This window comes from Homo sapiens, chromosome 1, assembly GCF_000001405.40.
Source record: "Homo sapiens chromosome 1, GRCh38.p14 Primary Assembly".
NCBI lineage: Eukaryota > Metazoa > Chordata > Mammalia > Primates > Hominidae > Homo > Homo sapiens.
The window spans coordinates 213089369-213108434 of NC_000001.11; the positions used below are offsets into that span (position 1 = coordinate 213089369).

General features: G+C 36.8%; 1 protein-coding gene across 46 annotated transcripts in view; it reads left to right on the forward strand.

Annotated features, from left to right (window-relative positions):
- The window catches only part of RPS6KC1 (ribosomal protein S6 kinase C1), an 811495-nt gene that overhangs the window by 38128 nt on the left and 754301 nt on the right, over positions 1-19066 (forward strand). For all 46 annotated transcript variants that reach the window (XR_007058661.1, XR_007058662.1, NR_146210.2 and 43 more), the window contains one exon: positions 15086-15201. Coding sequence is in view for 12 of the 46 variants with exons in the window: in XM_047417936.1 (XP_047273892.1) it covers positions 15086-15201 (116 nt within the window). In the remaining 34 variants the exon portion in view is untranslated. The remainder of the gene's footprint in view (positions 1-15085; positions 15202-19066) is intronic.

Consider the following 19066-nt stretch of genomic DNA (forward strand, 5'->3'; position numbering starts at 1 on the left):
TTACTTTTTTTCTTGATACCTTTCCCATTTAAAGATGTATGTGTGTGCCCTTTCCCATTGCAACTACTACCTCTTTTGACCACCATTTTGCTGTTTGTTTTTTTTTTTTTAAGATGGAGTTTTGCCCTTGTCACCCAGGCTGGAGTGCAGTGGTGCAATCTTGGCTCACTGCAACCTCCGCCTCCCAGGTTCAAGCGGTTCTCCTGTCTCAGCCTCCCGAGTAGCTGGGAATACAGGCATGTGCCACCACACCTGGCTAATTTTTGTATTTTTAGCAGAGACGGGGTTTCACCATGTTGGCCAGGCTGGTCTCGAACTCCTGACCTCAGGTGATCCACCTGCCTCAGCCTCCCAAAGTGCTGGGATTACAGGCGTGAGCCACCGCGCCCGGCCCCATTTTGCTGTTAAAGTGCCTGGCAAGCATGTTTACATGCCAAAAATCTATTACCTCATGCTTTTATTTTGCTCAACTTATTTTTCAAGTATTTATATGTCAGGCGCGGTCCTACGTGCTGAAGATACATTCATAAGACTGAAACAGTCTCTGGATCATGTAGCTATTAATAATCTTCTTTGACTAATTTCAGTCCAGCTATCAATTATCTAGAAATTTTATGGGCATATTTAATTCAAGAAGCTTTCTAAAAATTGGCACTGAGGATATCATGATGCAAACAGCCCCTCTAAGAAACTTAGAGTCTTATGGTTGAAGAAGTGAGCATTAGGATCCAGAGTTGAGAAAGAGAACTGTTTCAGGATGTGGTATTCTCACCATCAAGTTTTTAAGACTTGTGGCACTCTAAATATGAAGATGAAGATAATTTTAAGAAGTCATCAGTCTGAGGAGTTTTAAGAATCATGCTTCTAAACCTACAGCCAGTATTTTTTCTTGTGTTCTAAAAGTAAGAACCCTGCCTTGCCCTTTAATTATAATTTTCTCTCTTTCTCTTTGATTCCTTGACAAGACCCTAAGCTGCATGATCCAGAGACTGCTTTGGTGTTATGAATGTATCTTCAGCATGTAGGACTGTGCCTGACATATAAATAAGTTGAGCAAAATAAAAGTATGAGTTAAGATTTAAAAGGTAGAGTAGTTATAGGTGATGATGTCATCAAAAGTCAATCCCAAAGCCAAAATTAAAATGTTTGATTATACCTAGTATGGAGCAATAGATATACAACAGGAAGAGTATAAATTCATACAGTTTCTTTGGAGGGCAATTTGAAATAAACCTTTTCTATTCTGTTTTTAATTAATTTTTCTACACATCTATTCTCATGTCTACATGGGAGATATATATGAATGACTATTAGATGTTTTGGTCTTAGATTCTTCTTTATATTCTTAAAAATTATTGAAGACTTCAAAGGACTGTTGTTTATGTAGGTTTTAGCTATTAATATTTACCATACTAGAAATTTTAGAAATTGTATTAAATAAAAATAAAAAATACACTACATGTTAACATAAAAGGATGTTTTTATGAAAAATGATTCTTCCAAAGCAAAAAAGAAATAGCAAGAAGAGTGGTGTTGGTTTATGTTTTTACAAATCTCTAATGTCTGGCTTAAGAGGAGATAGCTGGATTCTTATAGCTGTTTCTGTATTCAGCCTGTTGAGATATGTTATTTTGGTTGAAGTACATGAGTAAAATTCAGGGTCACAAAGATAATGCAGTTGAAAAAGGGAGGAGTGTTTTTTTTTTTGAGACGGAGTCTCGCTCTGTTGTCCAGGCTGGAGTGTAGTGGCGTGATCTCGGCTTACTGCAAGCTCTGCCTCCTGGATTCATGCCATTCTCCTGCCTCAGCCTCCCGAGTAGCTGGGACTACAGGTGCCAGCCACCACGCCCAGCTAATTTTTTTTTGTATTTTTAGTAGAGACGGAGTTTCACCATGTTAGCCAGGATGATCTCGATCTCCTGACCTCGTGATCTGCCTGCCTCAGCCTCCCAAAGTGCTGGGATTACAGGGGTGAGCCACCGCGCCCGGCCTGGGAGGAGTGTTTTAATACCTTTTTCAGATAATTAAAGGTATTCTTTGATACACCAAAACTTGATGTGTGGTAATTTCATAAAGGCTAGTTGCATTGTGGAATCAGAACCCTGTAAATGAACCTTTTGTACTTTGTTACATTACAATCCGTTGGTCTGTCTTAGATTTGAATATATCTTTTACCTGGGCATGAGTTTGTAACACCATGTATTGGTCATTTGAAAAATATTGGTTTCCTGAATTATGCAGATTTTGTAAACACTTACCCATTTTATTATACAGTGTTAAAAATCATTAATATCATCACAGATTTCTAAGGAAAAAATTTTAAAGTATTGGGAAGCTGTCAAGCTTACAGTGGTTTGACAGCTTGAATTTTATCACTGATAACAATACTGTTGGTTATTTTCCTTGAATTGTTAGGCCCAGTTGTTTATGTTTGAGAAAATGTCTGTCAAATATCCAAATCTGAATAGTTATAGTTTGTTTCATTTCACAGAATTTAAAAAATTATTGTTCTCAAGGGTTGAGATTTAATAAAGTTAATAATTTTTACTGCTTTATCAAGGACATTCTAAATGAAACTGGCATTACATTTCTTTTTTTTTTTTTAAATATGAGTGAGTGGCATATTATACTCGTAATCATTATATTCCGAGTAAGTATAGTTTGGTGCTGTTGCCTTGATTTCATGCTAAGAGGTCAGCAGTTTTATTACCATTGCTTTTAGATCATCAGTGCAAATGTTAGTGCAGTAAAAAAATGCAACTGCTTTTGTAGTAGTATTATTAAAATGGTTTGACCTTGCTGATTGCCTGAAAGGCCCTGCAGGGATCATCTGCAGTCTGTGGATGGCTCATAGAGAACACACGTACACACATATATACATATACACAGGGTGTTCATTGCAGCATTATATTCAGTAGAAGAAAACTGAAAATTGAATGTTTCTCTATCTGTGATTGTATGGATGTGCCATAATTTAGCCAAGTAATAGGATTTTGGGGCTGTTTGAAATACACTTGTATGGGCCGGGCCCGGTGGCTCATGTCTGTAATCCCAGCACTTTGGGAGGCCGAGGCGGGCGGATCGCAAGGTCAGGAGATCGAGACAATCCTGGCTAACATGGTGAAACCCCGTCTCTACTAAAAATACGAAAAATTAGGCCGGGCATGGTGGCGGGCACCTGAAGTCCCAGCTACTCAGGGGGCTGAGGCAGGGGAATTGCTTGAACCAGGGAGGCGGAGCTTGCAGTGAGCCCAGATCGTGCCACTGCACTCCAGCCTGGGTGACAGAGCAAGACTCCATCTCAAAAAAAAAAAAAAAGAAATACACTTGTATGGAACAATATCCAAGATATGTTTTTAAGCTAAACAAAACAAACGCGTATAATGATGTTTAGTAAGATCCTGTGTATGTGTAAATAAACATATATGAATCATACCTATACACATTTGTATAGTGTATGTAACCTCTGAGGGAGTGGTAGGAGGGATATTTTTACTTGTTGCATTGCACTTTCTGTACTGTGGAATTTAACACATTTATCTTTAATGTTAGAGGATACATAGCTGGCTTCTTAAAAAAGAAACTTGTCACTGGGTGAAAGAGTGGCTTTTAAATTGGTTGAAGTTCTTAGCTGTTATTATCAGCTGCTAATGGATTATCTTAAACTTTTCTCCACATCCTTCCATATTATAGAATGAAAGTTTCATATTAATCTTAATAAGTAAGCAATTTATCTCTTTTAATAAATGGTACCGTTCATTTGTAATGTTTGATAACTGTAATGAACCTTGTAGGCAGCAGCTGTGGTTGTGTGGAAGGAATTGTTGGTTAATAATCTACTTTTTTTTTTTTTTTTTAATGAGGCGGAGTCTCGCTCTGTCACCCAGGCTGGAGTGCAGTGGCGCCATCTCGGCTCACTGAAACCTCCACCTCCCGGGTTCAAGAGATTCTCCTGCCTCAGCCTCCTGAGTAGCTAGGATTATAGGTGTCTGCCACCATGCCCGGCTAATTTTTGTAGTTTAGTAGAGATGGGGTTTCACCATGTTGGCCAGGCTGGTTTCAAACTCCTGACCTCAGGTGATCCTCCCGCCTCAGCCTCCCAAAGTCCTGGGATTACAAGTGTGAGCCACTGCACCCAGCCAATCATCTACCTTTTTATAGGTCCTCTTACATTAGTAAGTAAACTTCAGCAGCAAAGGAGTCCTCTTGTAATTTTGCATATGATCGAGCTGATGTAGTTATTGTTCTAATGGTATGGTGAGAAGTACTTATTTTTTGCAGTCAGATAGATTTAGACCCGTATCTTCTGTTAACTATTTACTGCCAGTGTGATCTTATACAAATTAATATCTGAGTCTAGTTTTCTTATTGGTAAGGTAAGGATAATACCTTACTGTTCTAACAATTATATCTGTATAATATTTAGCTCCATGCTAGATGCATGTCAGCTAGTGTTAGCTATTATCTGTTACTCAGTGAGTTTACCATTCCTCTAACATACCTTACTCTCTTGTGTCTTCTTCTTTAGTTTTGTGTTGCTCCGCTGTGAAGTTTCTGGTTAGCCTTTCAGAAGATATCTCTTCTAGGAAGTTTGCCATGCTTCTTTTCAGCTGAGTTAACTGTTTACCCTTCCTGGTTATTCATCTCATCAGTATAGCACTTAACTCATGTATTTTTCCCCATTTTTTTTAAATTGACAAAATTTCAAATTTATGCTCCCCCCCCCCACCAAGAGAATAGTATAGTGAACACATATATATACGTTTTTTTCCAAATTCATGGATTGTTAATATTTTGCCACATCTTCTGCATTTCTGTCTCTATGTATGTGTTTCTCATTTTTTCCTGAACCATTTGAGAATAAAATGCAGACATCATGATATTTCATCCCTACTCCCCATGTTTCTGCTATGATCATAATACCATATTGCACCTATGAAATTTAACATTGATGCAATATTATAAAATAGGCAGTCCATCTTCAGATTTCTGTAGTTGTCCTTGAAATGTCCTTTTTAGCTTTTTTTTTTTGATTCATAATCATGCCTCTCTTGGTTTCTTTAATCTAGAATAGTTCTTATTTTTTTTCTTTTTGATTTTTCATAACACTGACATTTTTAAAGAACGTAGAACAGTAGTTTTGCCAGTTTCACAAGCTATATCTGTCTGATTGTTTTCTCATGAATAGATCATTGTTTGTTGTTTGTTTTCTTCTATCTGTCATCAGAGTATGACTTCCTGTGAGAGAGAGACAGGCAGCTCCCAATAGCTAAGAACTGGCCAGGCACTATATTGGTTTGACCTTGGTGTTTCTTAGAGTTGGCCTGGAATTCACAATTAGGCTGTGGTGTTCTCGTATTGAACAAAAACAATTCCATAGAACATTGAACATTAAGACAAGATCACTCCATGTCCTTGGATGACGACAAAAACAAGACCATCCTGTAGTCATGTCTGAACACAGACAAAAACATAAACATTGTTCAAGTCACAAAAATGATCAAATATCCTCATTCTGGTTACAATGAATGACTACTGCTTCTTTATAAATCATAACCTTAGCCTTGCTTTATTTTTCCTGCTTCATAGTAAGATACATTAAAAAATCATAGAATCATAGAATTAGAATTGAGAGAATCATAGAATTACCTCCACTTCCTGACAGCATCCAATCCAGGGCAGAACCCCACTTCCTTGAACCCTTCCCTAACACAAGCCAAAGCCCTGTAAGTCCTTTCTGATACCCTCTTGGTGAAATGCCCCAGTGTTCCCAATGGTATGTATTCTCCTTAGTTGTAAGAAGTAATAAATTCAGCTTGTTTAACTACAGGTGTGTTCCTGGTGCTGTTTGGCTAGAGAGAATTTAATCCAGAGAATCTTGACCTCTCTCTTTCTTTTTACTCTGTGAATGAACTTTTGATATAGTTAAGAATCATCAGCATTAAGCTTTTCTAGATAATTTCATACTGGTCAAGGATAAGTTTTAGTTCCATGAACTAGCTTTTGATGACTAACATGCATTTTAAAAAAGTTGTAAACTCTGCTATTTAGGAGTTCTTCTAAATAATAAAAACAACATAGGGAAGATACCAAAGACAGCTTATAAATCAAACAGAGAGGCTTTATTTTTAGTGAGTAATGAGCTTAGTTAGAATGTTTGGATTTAATTCCCTCCCCTCCACAGCTTTTAATAACCATTGTTGGGTGATTGGGAGTGGGAGAGTGTCTTATATATATTATACACACACAGAAATATATAGGTATACCTCAGAGATATTGCAGATTTGGTTTCAGACCATTGCAATAAAGTGAGTCACACAGAATATTTTGGTTTCCTAGTACATATAAAAGTTGTGTTTATACTGTACTGTAGTCTATTGAGTGTGCAGTAGCACTATGTCTTAAAAAAGTACGTACCTTAATTAAGAAATACTATATTGCTAAAAATGCTAATTTTCATCTGAGCCTTCAGTATGTGGTAGTCTTTTTGCTCATGGTGCGTCTTGTCTCCATGTTGATGGCTGCCAACTGATCAGGGTGGTGGTTGCTGAAAGTTGGGGTAGTTGTGGCAATTTCTTAAAATAAGACAACGATGAGATTTGCTGTATCCATTGACTCTTCCTTTCACAAAAGATTTCTCTGTAACATGTGATGGTGTTTGATAGCATTTTACCTACAGTAGAACTTCTTTCAGAATTGGAGTCAGTCCTCTCAGATCCTGTGACTGCTTTATCAACTAAGTGTATGTGACATTCAGAATCCTTTGTTGTCATTTCAACAGTGTTCACAGCATCTTCACCAGGAGTAGACTCCTTCTCAAGAAACGACTTTCTCTGCTCGTCCATAAGAAGCAACTCTTTGTTCATTTAACTTTTATCATGAGATTGCAGCAATTCAGTCACGTCTTCAGGCTCCTCTTCCAGTTTTCATTCTCTTGCTATTTCTACCACATCTGCAGTTACTTCCTCCACTGAAGTCTTGAACCCCTCAAAGTCATCCATGAGGGTTACAATCAGCTTCTAAAATCTTATTAATGTTGGCTGGGCATGGTGGCTCATGCCTATAGTCCCAACACTTTGGGAGGGCAGGGTGGGTGGATCACTTGAGGTCAGGAGTTCGAGACCAGCCTGGCAAACATGGTGAAAAATTAGCCGGACATGGTGGTATACGCCTATAATTCCAGCTACTCGGGAGGCTGAGGCAGGAGAATTGCTTGAACCCGGGAGGCGGAGGTTGCAGTGATTTGAGATTGCGCTACTGTACTCCAGCCTGGGTGACAGCACGAGACACTGTATCAAAGAAAAAAAAAAAAGTTGATAGTTTTACCTTCCCCCAAATGTTGTCAATGGCATCTAGGGTGGTGAATCCTTTCCAGAAGGTTTTCAACTTATTTTGCTTAGGTTTCTGAGAGGAATCACTTGTATGTCATCTATAGCCTATGAAATGTATTTCTTAAATAAATAATAAATAATAAACCATTGTTGGGTAATTGGGGGTGAGGAAGTGGCTTATATATATTATATACACACAGAAATATATAGGTAAATAAGGAGGATTGAAAGTACAAAATTACTCCTTGATCCCATGGACTGTAGAATTGATGTTGTGTTAGCTGGCATGAAAACATAATTAATCTCCTTGTACATCTCCACCAGAGCTTCGAGTGAACCAGATTCATTGTCAGTGAGCAATAATATTTTGAAAGGGCAGGGCACAGTGGCTCATACCTGTAATTCCAGCACTTTGGGAGGCCAAGGCGGGTGGATCACGAGGTCAGGAGTTCAAGACCAGCCTGGCCAACATGGTGAAACCCCGTCTCTACTAGAAATACAAAAGTTAGCCAGGCATGGTAGTGTGTACCTGTAATCCCGGCTAATCAGGAGGCTGAGACAGGAGAATCACTTGAACCTGGTAGGCGGAGGCTGCAGTGAGCTGAGATCGCGCCACTGCACTCCAGCCTGGGACAGAGTGAGACTGTCTCAAAAAAAATTTTTTTGAAAGGAATCTTTTTTTCTGTGCAATAGATCTCAACAGTGGTCTTAAAATATTCAGTAGACCATGCTATTAACAGATGCACTGTCATCGAGGCTTTTTCTGTTGATGGAACACAGGCAGAGTAGATTTAGCCTAATTCTTAAAGGCCCTAGGATTTTCAGAATGGTCAGTAAGCATTGGCTTCAACTTAAAGTCACCAGCTGCATTAGCTTCTAACAGAAGAGTCAGCCTGTGCTTCGAAGTGTGGAAACCAAGCATGACTTCTCCTGTCTAGGTATGAAAGTGTTGGATAGCATTTTCTTCCAAAAGAAGGCTGTTTTATCTCCATTAAAAATCTGTTCTTTAGTGTAGCCATCTTTATCAATGATTTTCGCTAGATCTTCTGTATAACTTGAAGCAGCCTCTACAGATCAGCCCTTGCTGCTTCACCTTGCACTTTTATGTTACGGTGATGGCTTCATTCCTTAAACCTCATGTACCAACCTCTGCTAGCTTCCAACTTTTCTTTTGCAGCTTCTTCACCTCTCTCAGCCTTCATAGAATTAGAGAGTTAGGGCCTTGCTCTGGAGTATGCTTTGGTTTAAGGGAATGTTGGGGCTGGTTTACTTTCTCCATATCAGCAATAACGCTGCTTCACTTTCTTATCATTCATGTGTTCACTGGAGTAACACTTTTAATTTCTTTCAGTAACTTATTTTTTGTATTCACGACTTGGCTAACTGGTGCAAGAGGCCTAACTTTCAACATTTCTTGGTTTGTGTTATGCCTTCCTTACCGAGTCTTGCTCTGTTTCCAAGGCTGGAGTGTAGTGATGCGATCATGGCTCACTGCAGTCTTGAACTTTGGGACTCAAGCAGTCCTCCCTCCTCAGCCTCCTGAATATCTGGGACTACAGGGGACTACAGGCATACTACAGGCATGTGCCACCATGCCCGGCTAATTTTTTTTTTTTTTTTTTTGTAGAGACGGGGTTTCACCATGTTACTTAGGCTGGTCTCAAACTCCTGGGCTCAACTGATCAGCCCGCCTCAGCCTCTGAGAGTATTGGGATTATAGGTGTAAGCCACTGCACCCTGCCTTATTTCCAGCTTTTGATTTAAAGTGAGACACCTGTAACTCTTCCTTTCACTTGAACACTTAGAGGCCATTGTAGAGGTTAATTGGTGTACTTTCAATATTGTTGTGTCTCAGGGAATACAGAGGCCTGAGGAAAGGGAGATTGGGTACAGCTGGTTGGTGGAGCAGTCAGAACACACTCAACACCTATTAACTAAGTTTGCGTTTTATATTCTTGTGGTTTGTGGTGCCTCAAAACAATGTTATTGTATTGCAAATGCCAGTACCAAAGATTACTGATCATAGATCACTACAACAGATATAATAATAATGAAAAAGTTTGATTGTGACATTTACCAAAATGTGACACAGAGACATAAAGTGAGCACATGCTGTTGGAAAAATGTTGCCACAAATCTTCAATTTGTAAAAAAATGCAGTATCTGTGAAGAGCAGTAAATTGAAATTCAATAAGATGAGGTATATAATATTGCACTGTAAACCTCGGGAAAAATTTGTTTTGCATTTTCTATGTTTCTATGTCTATAATTTTTCTACTCTGTTCACAGGAAAATAAACATTGGTACTACAAAGGGAAATTCAAAGCTGTAGTAGGAGAAGCACCTGATTATGATTTCTCATGTTGTTACAGCCTTTCAAGTGAAATTTTGATTATGTTGAAGGATACACAAGTAGAGAATGGTTGCAAGGTTATTGTCTGCCATTAGGATGACTGTTGAATCTTGCTGCTACTTTTTTGAAAATTTTCAAATTAGGTTGTCTTTATTAAATATATTAGTTCTAGAAGTTATTTCATTAAAATTCATCTGTGTTTTTTCATTTATGCTACGAGTACTATTTTTTTCTTTGTAGTAGACTTTACGCAACATTTTATTGTGAAAATTTTCAAGCATATAGACAAGTTGAAAGATGTGGACAGTGACATTTTGCTATATTTTCCTTATCATATATCTTTCCATAATCTGTCTTGTTTTTATGCATTTCAGCATAAAGTGCAGATACCAGTGTCTTTCACCCATACATATTTTAACATATTGTCATTAATAAGAGTTCAGTATTTGTTTACATTTTGTTTAGATAAGTTTACACACAGTTAAATGCACAAATCTTAAGTATCCCATTGTATGTGTGACAAACATATACCTGTATAACCCAAACCCCTATCAAGATATAGGGCATTACCAACACCTAAAAGTTTGCTTCTTGCCCCTTCCCTGTCAATCCCTGCCCTTAAGCTACCCAGAAGGAACTTTTTCTACTATATATTAGTTTTGTACATCCTGGATTTTAAATGGAATCACGCTGTACAAACTTTTCATGTCTGGCTTCCCTCCTGCAGCATGTTTTTGGGATTCATCCATACTGTTGTGTTCATCAGAGGTTCATTCCTTGTTATTGCTGTTTAGTTTAAATGTACCACAGTCTGTTTATCCACTGTTCTATCAATGGGCACCTGGAATGTTTCCAGTTTGGGGCAATTTTAAGTAAATCTACAATAAACATCTTTATATGGACATATGTTTCTCTTGGGTAAATACCTAGGAATATAATTTCTGGATCATAAGATAGGTGTATGTTTTATTTTATAAGGAACTAAGAGACTTTCCAAAAGTGCTTGTATATTTGATATTCCCATCAACAATGTATGAAATTTCTGGCTGCTTCACACTCTTACCAACATTGGGCATTATCAGCCTTTTTTAATTTTAGCCATTCTGGGGCATGTGTAATGGTATCTTATTGTGGTTTTAACTTTCAGTTCCTGACGGCTAATAGGCTAAAGATTTTTTCACATGCTTATTAGCCACTCATATATCCTTTTTTTTTGAAGTATCTGTTTACATCTTTTGTCTATTTTGTGGGGCTGGAGTTCTTTGTATATCTTAGACACCAGTCGTTTGATGTTTTGCAAATGTTTTCTCCCAGTCAGTTGTTCGTCTATTCATGTGTTAATGGTCTCTTAAAAATTTTATTATTATCAGGAAATGGGAAAACATTAGTTTATTTTAGATTCAGCAGGTACATGTGCAGATTTGTTACCTGGTTATATTGTGTGGTGTTGAGATCTGGGCTTCAAATGAACTTACCACCCAAATAATGAATATAGTACCCAATAGATAGTTTCTTAACAGTTATCTCCTTCTTTCCATCCCCGCTTTTGGAGTTCTCAATGTCTGTTGTGCCCATCTCTGTGTCCATGTGTACCCAGTGTTTAGCTCCCACTTAAAAGTGAGAACATGTGGTATTTGGTTTTCTGTTCCTGTGTTAATTCACTTAGGATAATGGCCTCCACCTGCATCCATGTTGCTGCAAAGGACATTATTTCATTCTTTTTTATGGCTGTGTAGTATTCCATGGTGTATATGTACCACATTTTCTTTATCCAGTCCACTGTTGATGGGCACCTAGGTTGATTCCATGTCTTTACTATCGTGAATAGCACTACGATAAACATGAGAGTGTAGGTGTCTTTTTGGTAGAATGATTCGTTTTCCTTTGGGTATATACCCAGTAATAGGATGGCTGGATCAAATGGTAATTTTAGTTCTTTGAGAAATCTCAAACATGCCTTCCACAGGGGCTGAACTAATTTACACTCCCACCAACAGTTTATAAGCATTCCCTATTCTGTGCAACCTCGCCAGCATCTGTTATTTTTTGACTTTTTAGTAACAGCCATTCTGACTGGCATGAGGTGGTGTCTCATTATGGTTTCGATTTGCATTTTTCTAATGATCAGTGATGTTGAGCATATTTTCATGTTTGTTGGCTGCTTGTATGTCTTCTTTTGAGAAGAGTCTGTCTGTTCATGTCCTTTGCCCACTTAATGCCATTCTTCTGTTGTTATTCTGAAGTATTTTAGGAACAAAGAAATGAGCATGTTCCTTTATCGTATTTGTTCTGATAATAGGATTCAATGTAATTGAAGCTTATTTAATGCATAACCCTTTATTTTTGGTTGTGCACTACTCTGAAAAAAAGTCTCAATTCATATCTGCTTGTCAAAGTTTAGTGGAATAGAAACAATAAATCAATAGCAGTACAAGAAATGCTTTTGACATTTATTCCATTGCTTAAGTGTTTTACTTTAGCTTAATGGAGAAGATTAAAGCCTCCAATTTTTTTTTGTATTTGTTTCAGATAGAAATAAGATCTTTTTAGGGTACTATTAAATATTAAGAAGACTTCCATTAAGATTTCTCAACAAGTAGTTAATGCATTTAAAGATATTCTCAGGTAGTCTAGTGGGTCAAAGTATAAAATAATGTGTGCATTTTCTAGGTTATTTTTCTAAGCTTTTAGATGTTTACACAATTACTAATATTAATTTATAGGCACTTGAATTTACTTTTTTCTTTAAGCGATAACTATATTGGACTATAATCATAAGCACTGATTCATACTTTCTTATTTAGGCAAAATAAGGAATAATGAGCATTTAATCTAGTTGGCCAGTAGATTTTTTCCTAAGATTAAATCATTTAGATTGTTTTCAAGCCAGAGAATTGGTTTTACCTATTGGGGTTCTTGCAGATTTGTTTCTAGATAATATTAGTGATAGGTAAGCGAGTAGTGTCATTTTAGATTTGGTATTGTTATTGGGAGGGTTGAGTTTAATTGTTGCATTTGAACTGAGAGCATTTGAACTGAGAACTAAGAAAAACAAATGTGGCATAATGGATTATGTTGGGTTTGGTTATTTGTGAGAAAACTCAAGATAGAAGTCCATTTCTTCCTCATGGCAAAAGATTTGGAGGTAGCCTCAAGCGTGGCAGCTGCCCAGTGATCTGGAATCCAAGCTCCTGTCTTGTTGCTGTGTCATTTTTTAATGAGATGTAGTCTCGCTATGTTGCCCAGGCTGAGTTGAACTCCTAGGCTCAAGTGATCCTTCTGGCCTCAGCCTCCTGAGAAGCTGGGATTATAGGTTTGCGCCACTGTACCCTGTTTGTGTCATTTTTAACCTTCCACTTCTTGGTTCTTCTTGAAAGGGGGAAGGGACAAAGAAGAAAGGGAGAGAGGTTGTATGTCATTTGTCTTTTAAAAAGATTTCTGGGAAGCTACAGTATAATTTGTTTATATGCTATTTGCCAGAACTTAGTTTATATCTATGCCTAACTGCAAAGCAAGCTGGCAATTACAATTTTTTTTTTCCTGGGCTGTCATGTACCCATTTGAATAAAAATTGAGGAAGAAAGCAAGAACAAATATTTGGATAGCAGTGGACAGCCTATTCCATAGTAAGTAAAGCAGTATACAGAATGTTAGGAATCCTCTAATTGACTGCTACTTGCCTGCTGACCTTTATTTGGTCCTAGGCTCTATCAAGATACTGATAAAAGTTATAGACCCTATCCTTAGAAAAATGCACCTGTGTATATATATGCATGGAATTCTGTGGGATTATTGTCTCTGGAGCCCATCCATGAACCATTGCCTAAGAGGTTGTGTATGGATCCACTGTTAAGATTTCCTGTTATAGGCTGGGTATGGTGGCTCATGCCTGCAATACAATCCCAGCACTTTGGGAGGCCTAGATGGGAGGATCACTTGCATCCAGGAATTCGACATTAGCCTGGGCAGCGTAGTGCGACCCTCTCTCTACAAAATAATTAGCTGGCTGTGGTGGCGTGTGCCTGTAGTCCCAGCTTCTTGGGAGGCTGAAGTGGGAGGATTGCTTGAGCCTGGGAGGTTGAGGCTGCAGTGAGGTTTTGATCACTCTGGGTGACAGAGTGAGACCCTGTCTCAAAAAAAAAAAAAAAGATTATCTGTGATAATGTTTCATTGTAAGACATTTATTTATTTATTTTGACATGGCTTTTAAAAGTTTTTGTTATTCACTCACACAGTCAATAAAAGCTTGCTAGCATGCTCTGTATTTTAGTCAGTATGATAGAACTTGAAGATTCAAAGAACCATGATATTCTATTAAGTGCTTACTATGTGCCTCGCATGAAACTGGGAACCTTAAGTACATTATCCATTTCCTACATTTTAAAAATGAGGAAATAATCTGCCTAAGATTTTATAGCTAGTGAATGATAGAGGTAGTATTTGAATTCAGGTCCTTTTAGTTATCGTGAAATAGACACTTCACCATAAGCATGAGACACACTGGGCAGAGGGTATTTTAGTGGTTCAGTTTCACTTGCCAGTCATATAGGCACTTGCCTTGCCTATATAACTAGGAATCTCTTTGTGCCTCAGTTTTCTGTTAATACTCTGCAAAGGCACTTAAAATGTTTATGTGGTGATGCTACTTTTCTGATTTTGTATTTTTTTATTGCAATCAGTATGATATATGGCATATGATAAATGTCAACTGGTAATCTAATCTAAGTACTACAAAATGATCATATTTTGAAAATGTCTTATCAGCATTCAAATTTTATGTATCATTTAAAAATTCTATGGAAAGCACCTTTTGATCACCTTGTAAAGCAGAACTCACTGGTGCCATATGTGTGTTCTTTTTTCTCACAAGCATGCTGTTATGTATGCTGACAGCATCACACGTTGAATTTAGCATAAAAGCTTTTTGCTTCAAGCTGAGATTTTTGACCCCACTAATAATACAGATGTTCTCATAATTTCCTCTCTTCAGCCCCTTTATAAATCAAAAAGAGTAGAAAAGGGAAAATTATATGAGTAATTACAGTATTAGATTACTATAGAAAACCATTTCACTTCTTTAAAATTCTCTTTTCATCTTTAGTTTCGAATCACCAGCTTCTTAAATGTCAACTTTCTTAAATTGACAGGCTCTAAATTATGAATGTACCATTTATTTATCGGTTGACACCTTTGTCTCTTGTTTTATCAGAAACATTTTCTTTTCTACTGAGAGTACTGCTGATTCTAATTGTAGAGATTAGATTTGACTTCAGAAGTTTGCATAATAAGCAAAGCAACTAAGTGATAGGCCTGCTGCTGCTTTCTGATCTGTGGACGTAAACTATCATAAACCAGTGTTTGATCATTCTTCCCTTAAGTGTTGATTCTTATTTAATTGTAGGGCGATTTGATGAAACTGTTATCGAAGAGAGAAGACAATGTGCTGAAGACCTGCTACAGTTCTCTGCCAATATTCCTGCTCTTTACAATAGTAAACAGCTTGAAGACTTTTTCAAGGTTTGGTAGTCTTTCTGGAATATTTTATATCTTATTAAATACTTTTGTAATTTGTAGTAAAGTAAAATAAAAAATGCCACTTTTGAATTTCGTTATTCACTATAAAAGTAGAAATTAATAGCTCTATAATAATGTTTATGGCATATTTCCTATTTTTAGTATAGAAATTTATGCTTTTTTTTTTTTTTTAAAGGAACTGGTTCTGCTCTGTTGCTTAGACTGTTGTTCAGTGGCCATTGACAGGTGTGATCATGGCGTACTATAGTCTTGAGTTCCTGGGCTCAAGCCTCCTGTTGCCTCAGACTCCTGAGTGTTTTTGATTCATGGATCTTAAAAAATTGATGCAAAGAGCTTAGAGATTGTTTAACTCACTCTGTCATAATTGAAATACATTAAAAAAAATGAAGCATCATAAAACTCTAGTACTTACCTTCACTTTTTGAAGTGTCTTTCAGTGGCAGATTACTCTTGGAATATAAGCCACTGTAAGTCTATATTAAATTTGTTATTATGTTGACTTGTATAAAGATACAACAAAAATATAAAACTGCACAGTTTTAGAGAGCAGGCCAGTGCAAATTATATTACTGGAGATCATTGGATATTAGTGTTTTAAGTTCCTAGATATGTAATGCTTTCATTTTAAGTTTTTTTTTTTTTTTTTACCATTTTTAATAATAATTTTCTAACTTATTTTGAACTGTATCGGTATATGTTGTCAGTTGGTATTGTTGTATTTAATTACTACATTTTCCCTGTTGCATTGAGTTAACCTTCTAAAAAAAAAGAAATCTAAGTGATTGTGCTGTAATTGTTTTTACTTCTTTAAAATCTATTCACTTGTATAAGTTAAATTTCTTAGCCTATATAACCAGTGATATGTATGAATAGTGAGATATTTAATTTTTCTGATTTTAGTGGATCTACACAGATTATTTATTTATTTATTTTTTTCTGCCAGTGCTTCATCACCTAGGAATTTATTTTTTATGATGTTTTATCTACTGAAGAAAGTTCTTTTGAAAGATATTGCAAATTTACAGTAATAGAAATAATGATAGTAATAGAAGTGTTTATAGTAACAATAACATTTCTGATGATTGACCGTGTTGCTTAATTTTTCACCATTCTGCAAACTAGGCTGAGATAATAAATGTGATTTCTGCATATGGCCCTATGCAGATCTTTAGGATAAAGGCCAAATCAAATTGATAGAGTATTTAGCTCTTTGCTGTTCTTTGTTAATAATTGTTTCTATGTGTCAGGGAGTCTGTTTTTTATGGAAAAAGGCTTTATTATTAAACAAGAATATTGCTTTATAGAAATTGTGAAAAGCTGTCATGCAAATTACCACCTGCCATATGGCTAAAAAAAATTAGGGATTATGGAAGTCCTATTAAATACTTTAAACAATTTAAGTAAAAGTTAGCTGTTCATTGTATTTCTTCTGGATATGGGAATTCCTGATTGTAATTGTTGCTGGAAGTCACTGGGAAATGAGACTGTCATTTTCAGAGTTTGTGAAAGATTGGACAGTTTAAGAGAAGTCAAACTAATCTTGGAAAGTATCTTAGAACTATCTTTAACAGCGTGCTAGGCGGGAACAGGATACTGATTTGGGAATATCAGAGCAGTGGTATTCAGTCATTATCTCTATTTAAATAGAGATAATCAAGCAAGAAAAAAAAACTCATTCCATTAGCTTGAACAAAAAAAAAGGTATTTATTTTTCATATGACAAGAAGTATGAATGAGGAAGGTAGTCCAGGACTGGTATGGAGCTCAGTAATGTCATCAGTGACATAGGTTTCTGGGTTTAGGTGTGAAAGGGAAAAGGCCAAAAGAAACATGGCAGTTTTTAAAAGCTTTCCCAGAAACATGATCTAGAGATAGTCCTTCTTACATCTCATTGGCCAGAACAGGGTCACATGCCCATCCTTAATTTGAAGGAGTCTCGGAAGGTGACTCTTAGCTTTCTAGTTCTGATCATGGATGAAGGCTGTGGGGAAGGTTTTGGGGTAGCTAATTCACAGGGTGTGCTATAGTATCATAGTTTATTTTTCTCTTTAGAGACATTGATGATGCCACATGCAAATGACCATATAGCCACTTGCTTACATTGACTTTAAAAAACCACATACATAAGAGTAGAATGAATAGTATAATGAACTTCTATGACCCATGGCCTGGTTTCAGAAATTATCAGTATATTGCCAAACTTGTTTTATCTATACCTTTCCATCCCATACTCTTCACTGGTTGTTTATTTATTAGTATTAGTACAGTTACTAATTATAATTGTACAATTCACCGATTTTCAGTAAATTTATAGAGTTTTGCACCTATCACCAACATCCAATTGTATTTTATTTTATTCTTTTTTTTTTCTGAGACAGAATCTCACTCTGTTGCCCAGGCTAGAGTGCAGTGGCACAATCTCGGCTAACCGCAACCTCTTGCCTCCCGGGTTCAAGCTATTCTCCTGCCTCGGCCTCCTGAGTAGTTGGGATTACAGGTGTGTGCCACCACACCTGGCAAATTTTTGTATTTTTAGTAGAGACAGGGTTTCACAATGTTGGCCAGGCTGGTTTTGAACTCCTGACCTCAAGTGATCCGCCTGCTTCAGCCTCCCAAAGTGCTGGGATTACAGGTGTGAGCTACTGTGCCTGGCCAACATCCAATTTTAGATCATTTCCATTACCGCACCTCTGTGTCTACTTGCTATGGTGATCCCCTTTTCCATCCCCAGCCTGGGGCAACCACCTTGTTCTGTCTATAGATTTGCCTTTCCCCATAATTTCAAATACATGGAATTACACAATATATGTAGCGTTTTGTTCACAACATAAGTATATAGGTTTCTTTCACTTAGCATAATGCTTTTGAGCTTCATTCATGTTATGTATCAGCATTTTGTTCTTTTATGTTGCTGAAATGCATTTCATTGTATAGATAATACCACATTTTCTTCATTCATTGATAAATTGATGGACATGTTTGGATGTTTCTACGTTTTGGCTGTTATGACTAATGCTGCTGTGAATATTTGCCTACAAATCTTTGTGTGGATATATGTTTTCATTTTTCTTGGGTGATTCCTGAGGAGAGGAATTGCTGGATCTTATGGTAAATTCGTGTTTTTAAGAAACTGCCAAACTGTTTTCCAAACGGAAAATAGCCAGTAATGTTTGAACTTACCAGTTGTTCCACAACCTCACCAACACTTGGTATTGTCTGATTTTTTAACTGTAGCCATTCTAGCAGGTGTGCAGTGGCATTTCACCATAGTATTAATTTCAGTTTCCTAATGGCTAATGATGTTGAGCATGTTTTCCTCTGCTTTTTTCATATATCTTTGGTGAAATGTCCATTAAAATCTACCCATTTTTTTGATTGGGTTATCATTGAGTTGTAAGAGTTCTGAATATATTCTGTATAAACAGTCTTATCAGATAAGTGATTTGTAAATATTTTCTCCCCAGTCTGTAGCCTTTTAGTTTTCTTAGTGGTGTCATTTGAAGCTCAAAAGCTTTTAGCTTTGATATGATGTATAATTTATATATATTTTTTCTTTTTTGGGTTATGCCTGTCATACCCAGGAACTTTTCGAGTATCCCAAGATCATGAAGATTTTCTTCTGTTTACTTTTAGAAGTTTTAATGTTACAGGTCTGTGATTCATTTTTAGTTCATTTTATATACGGTGTGAAGGAACGGTCTAAATTCATCTTCTGGTGTGTGTATATCTAATATTCTGAGCATCATTTGTTGAAAAGACTATCCTCATTGAATCACCTTGGGACTCTTGCTGAAAGTAAATTGACTGTAATTATAATGGCTTATTTCTGGACTGTTGATAGTTCTAT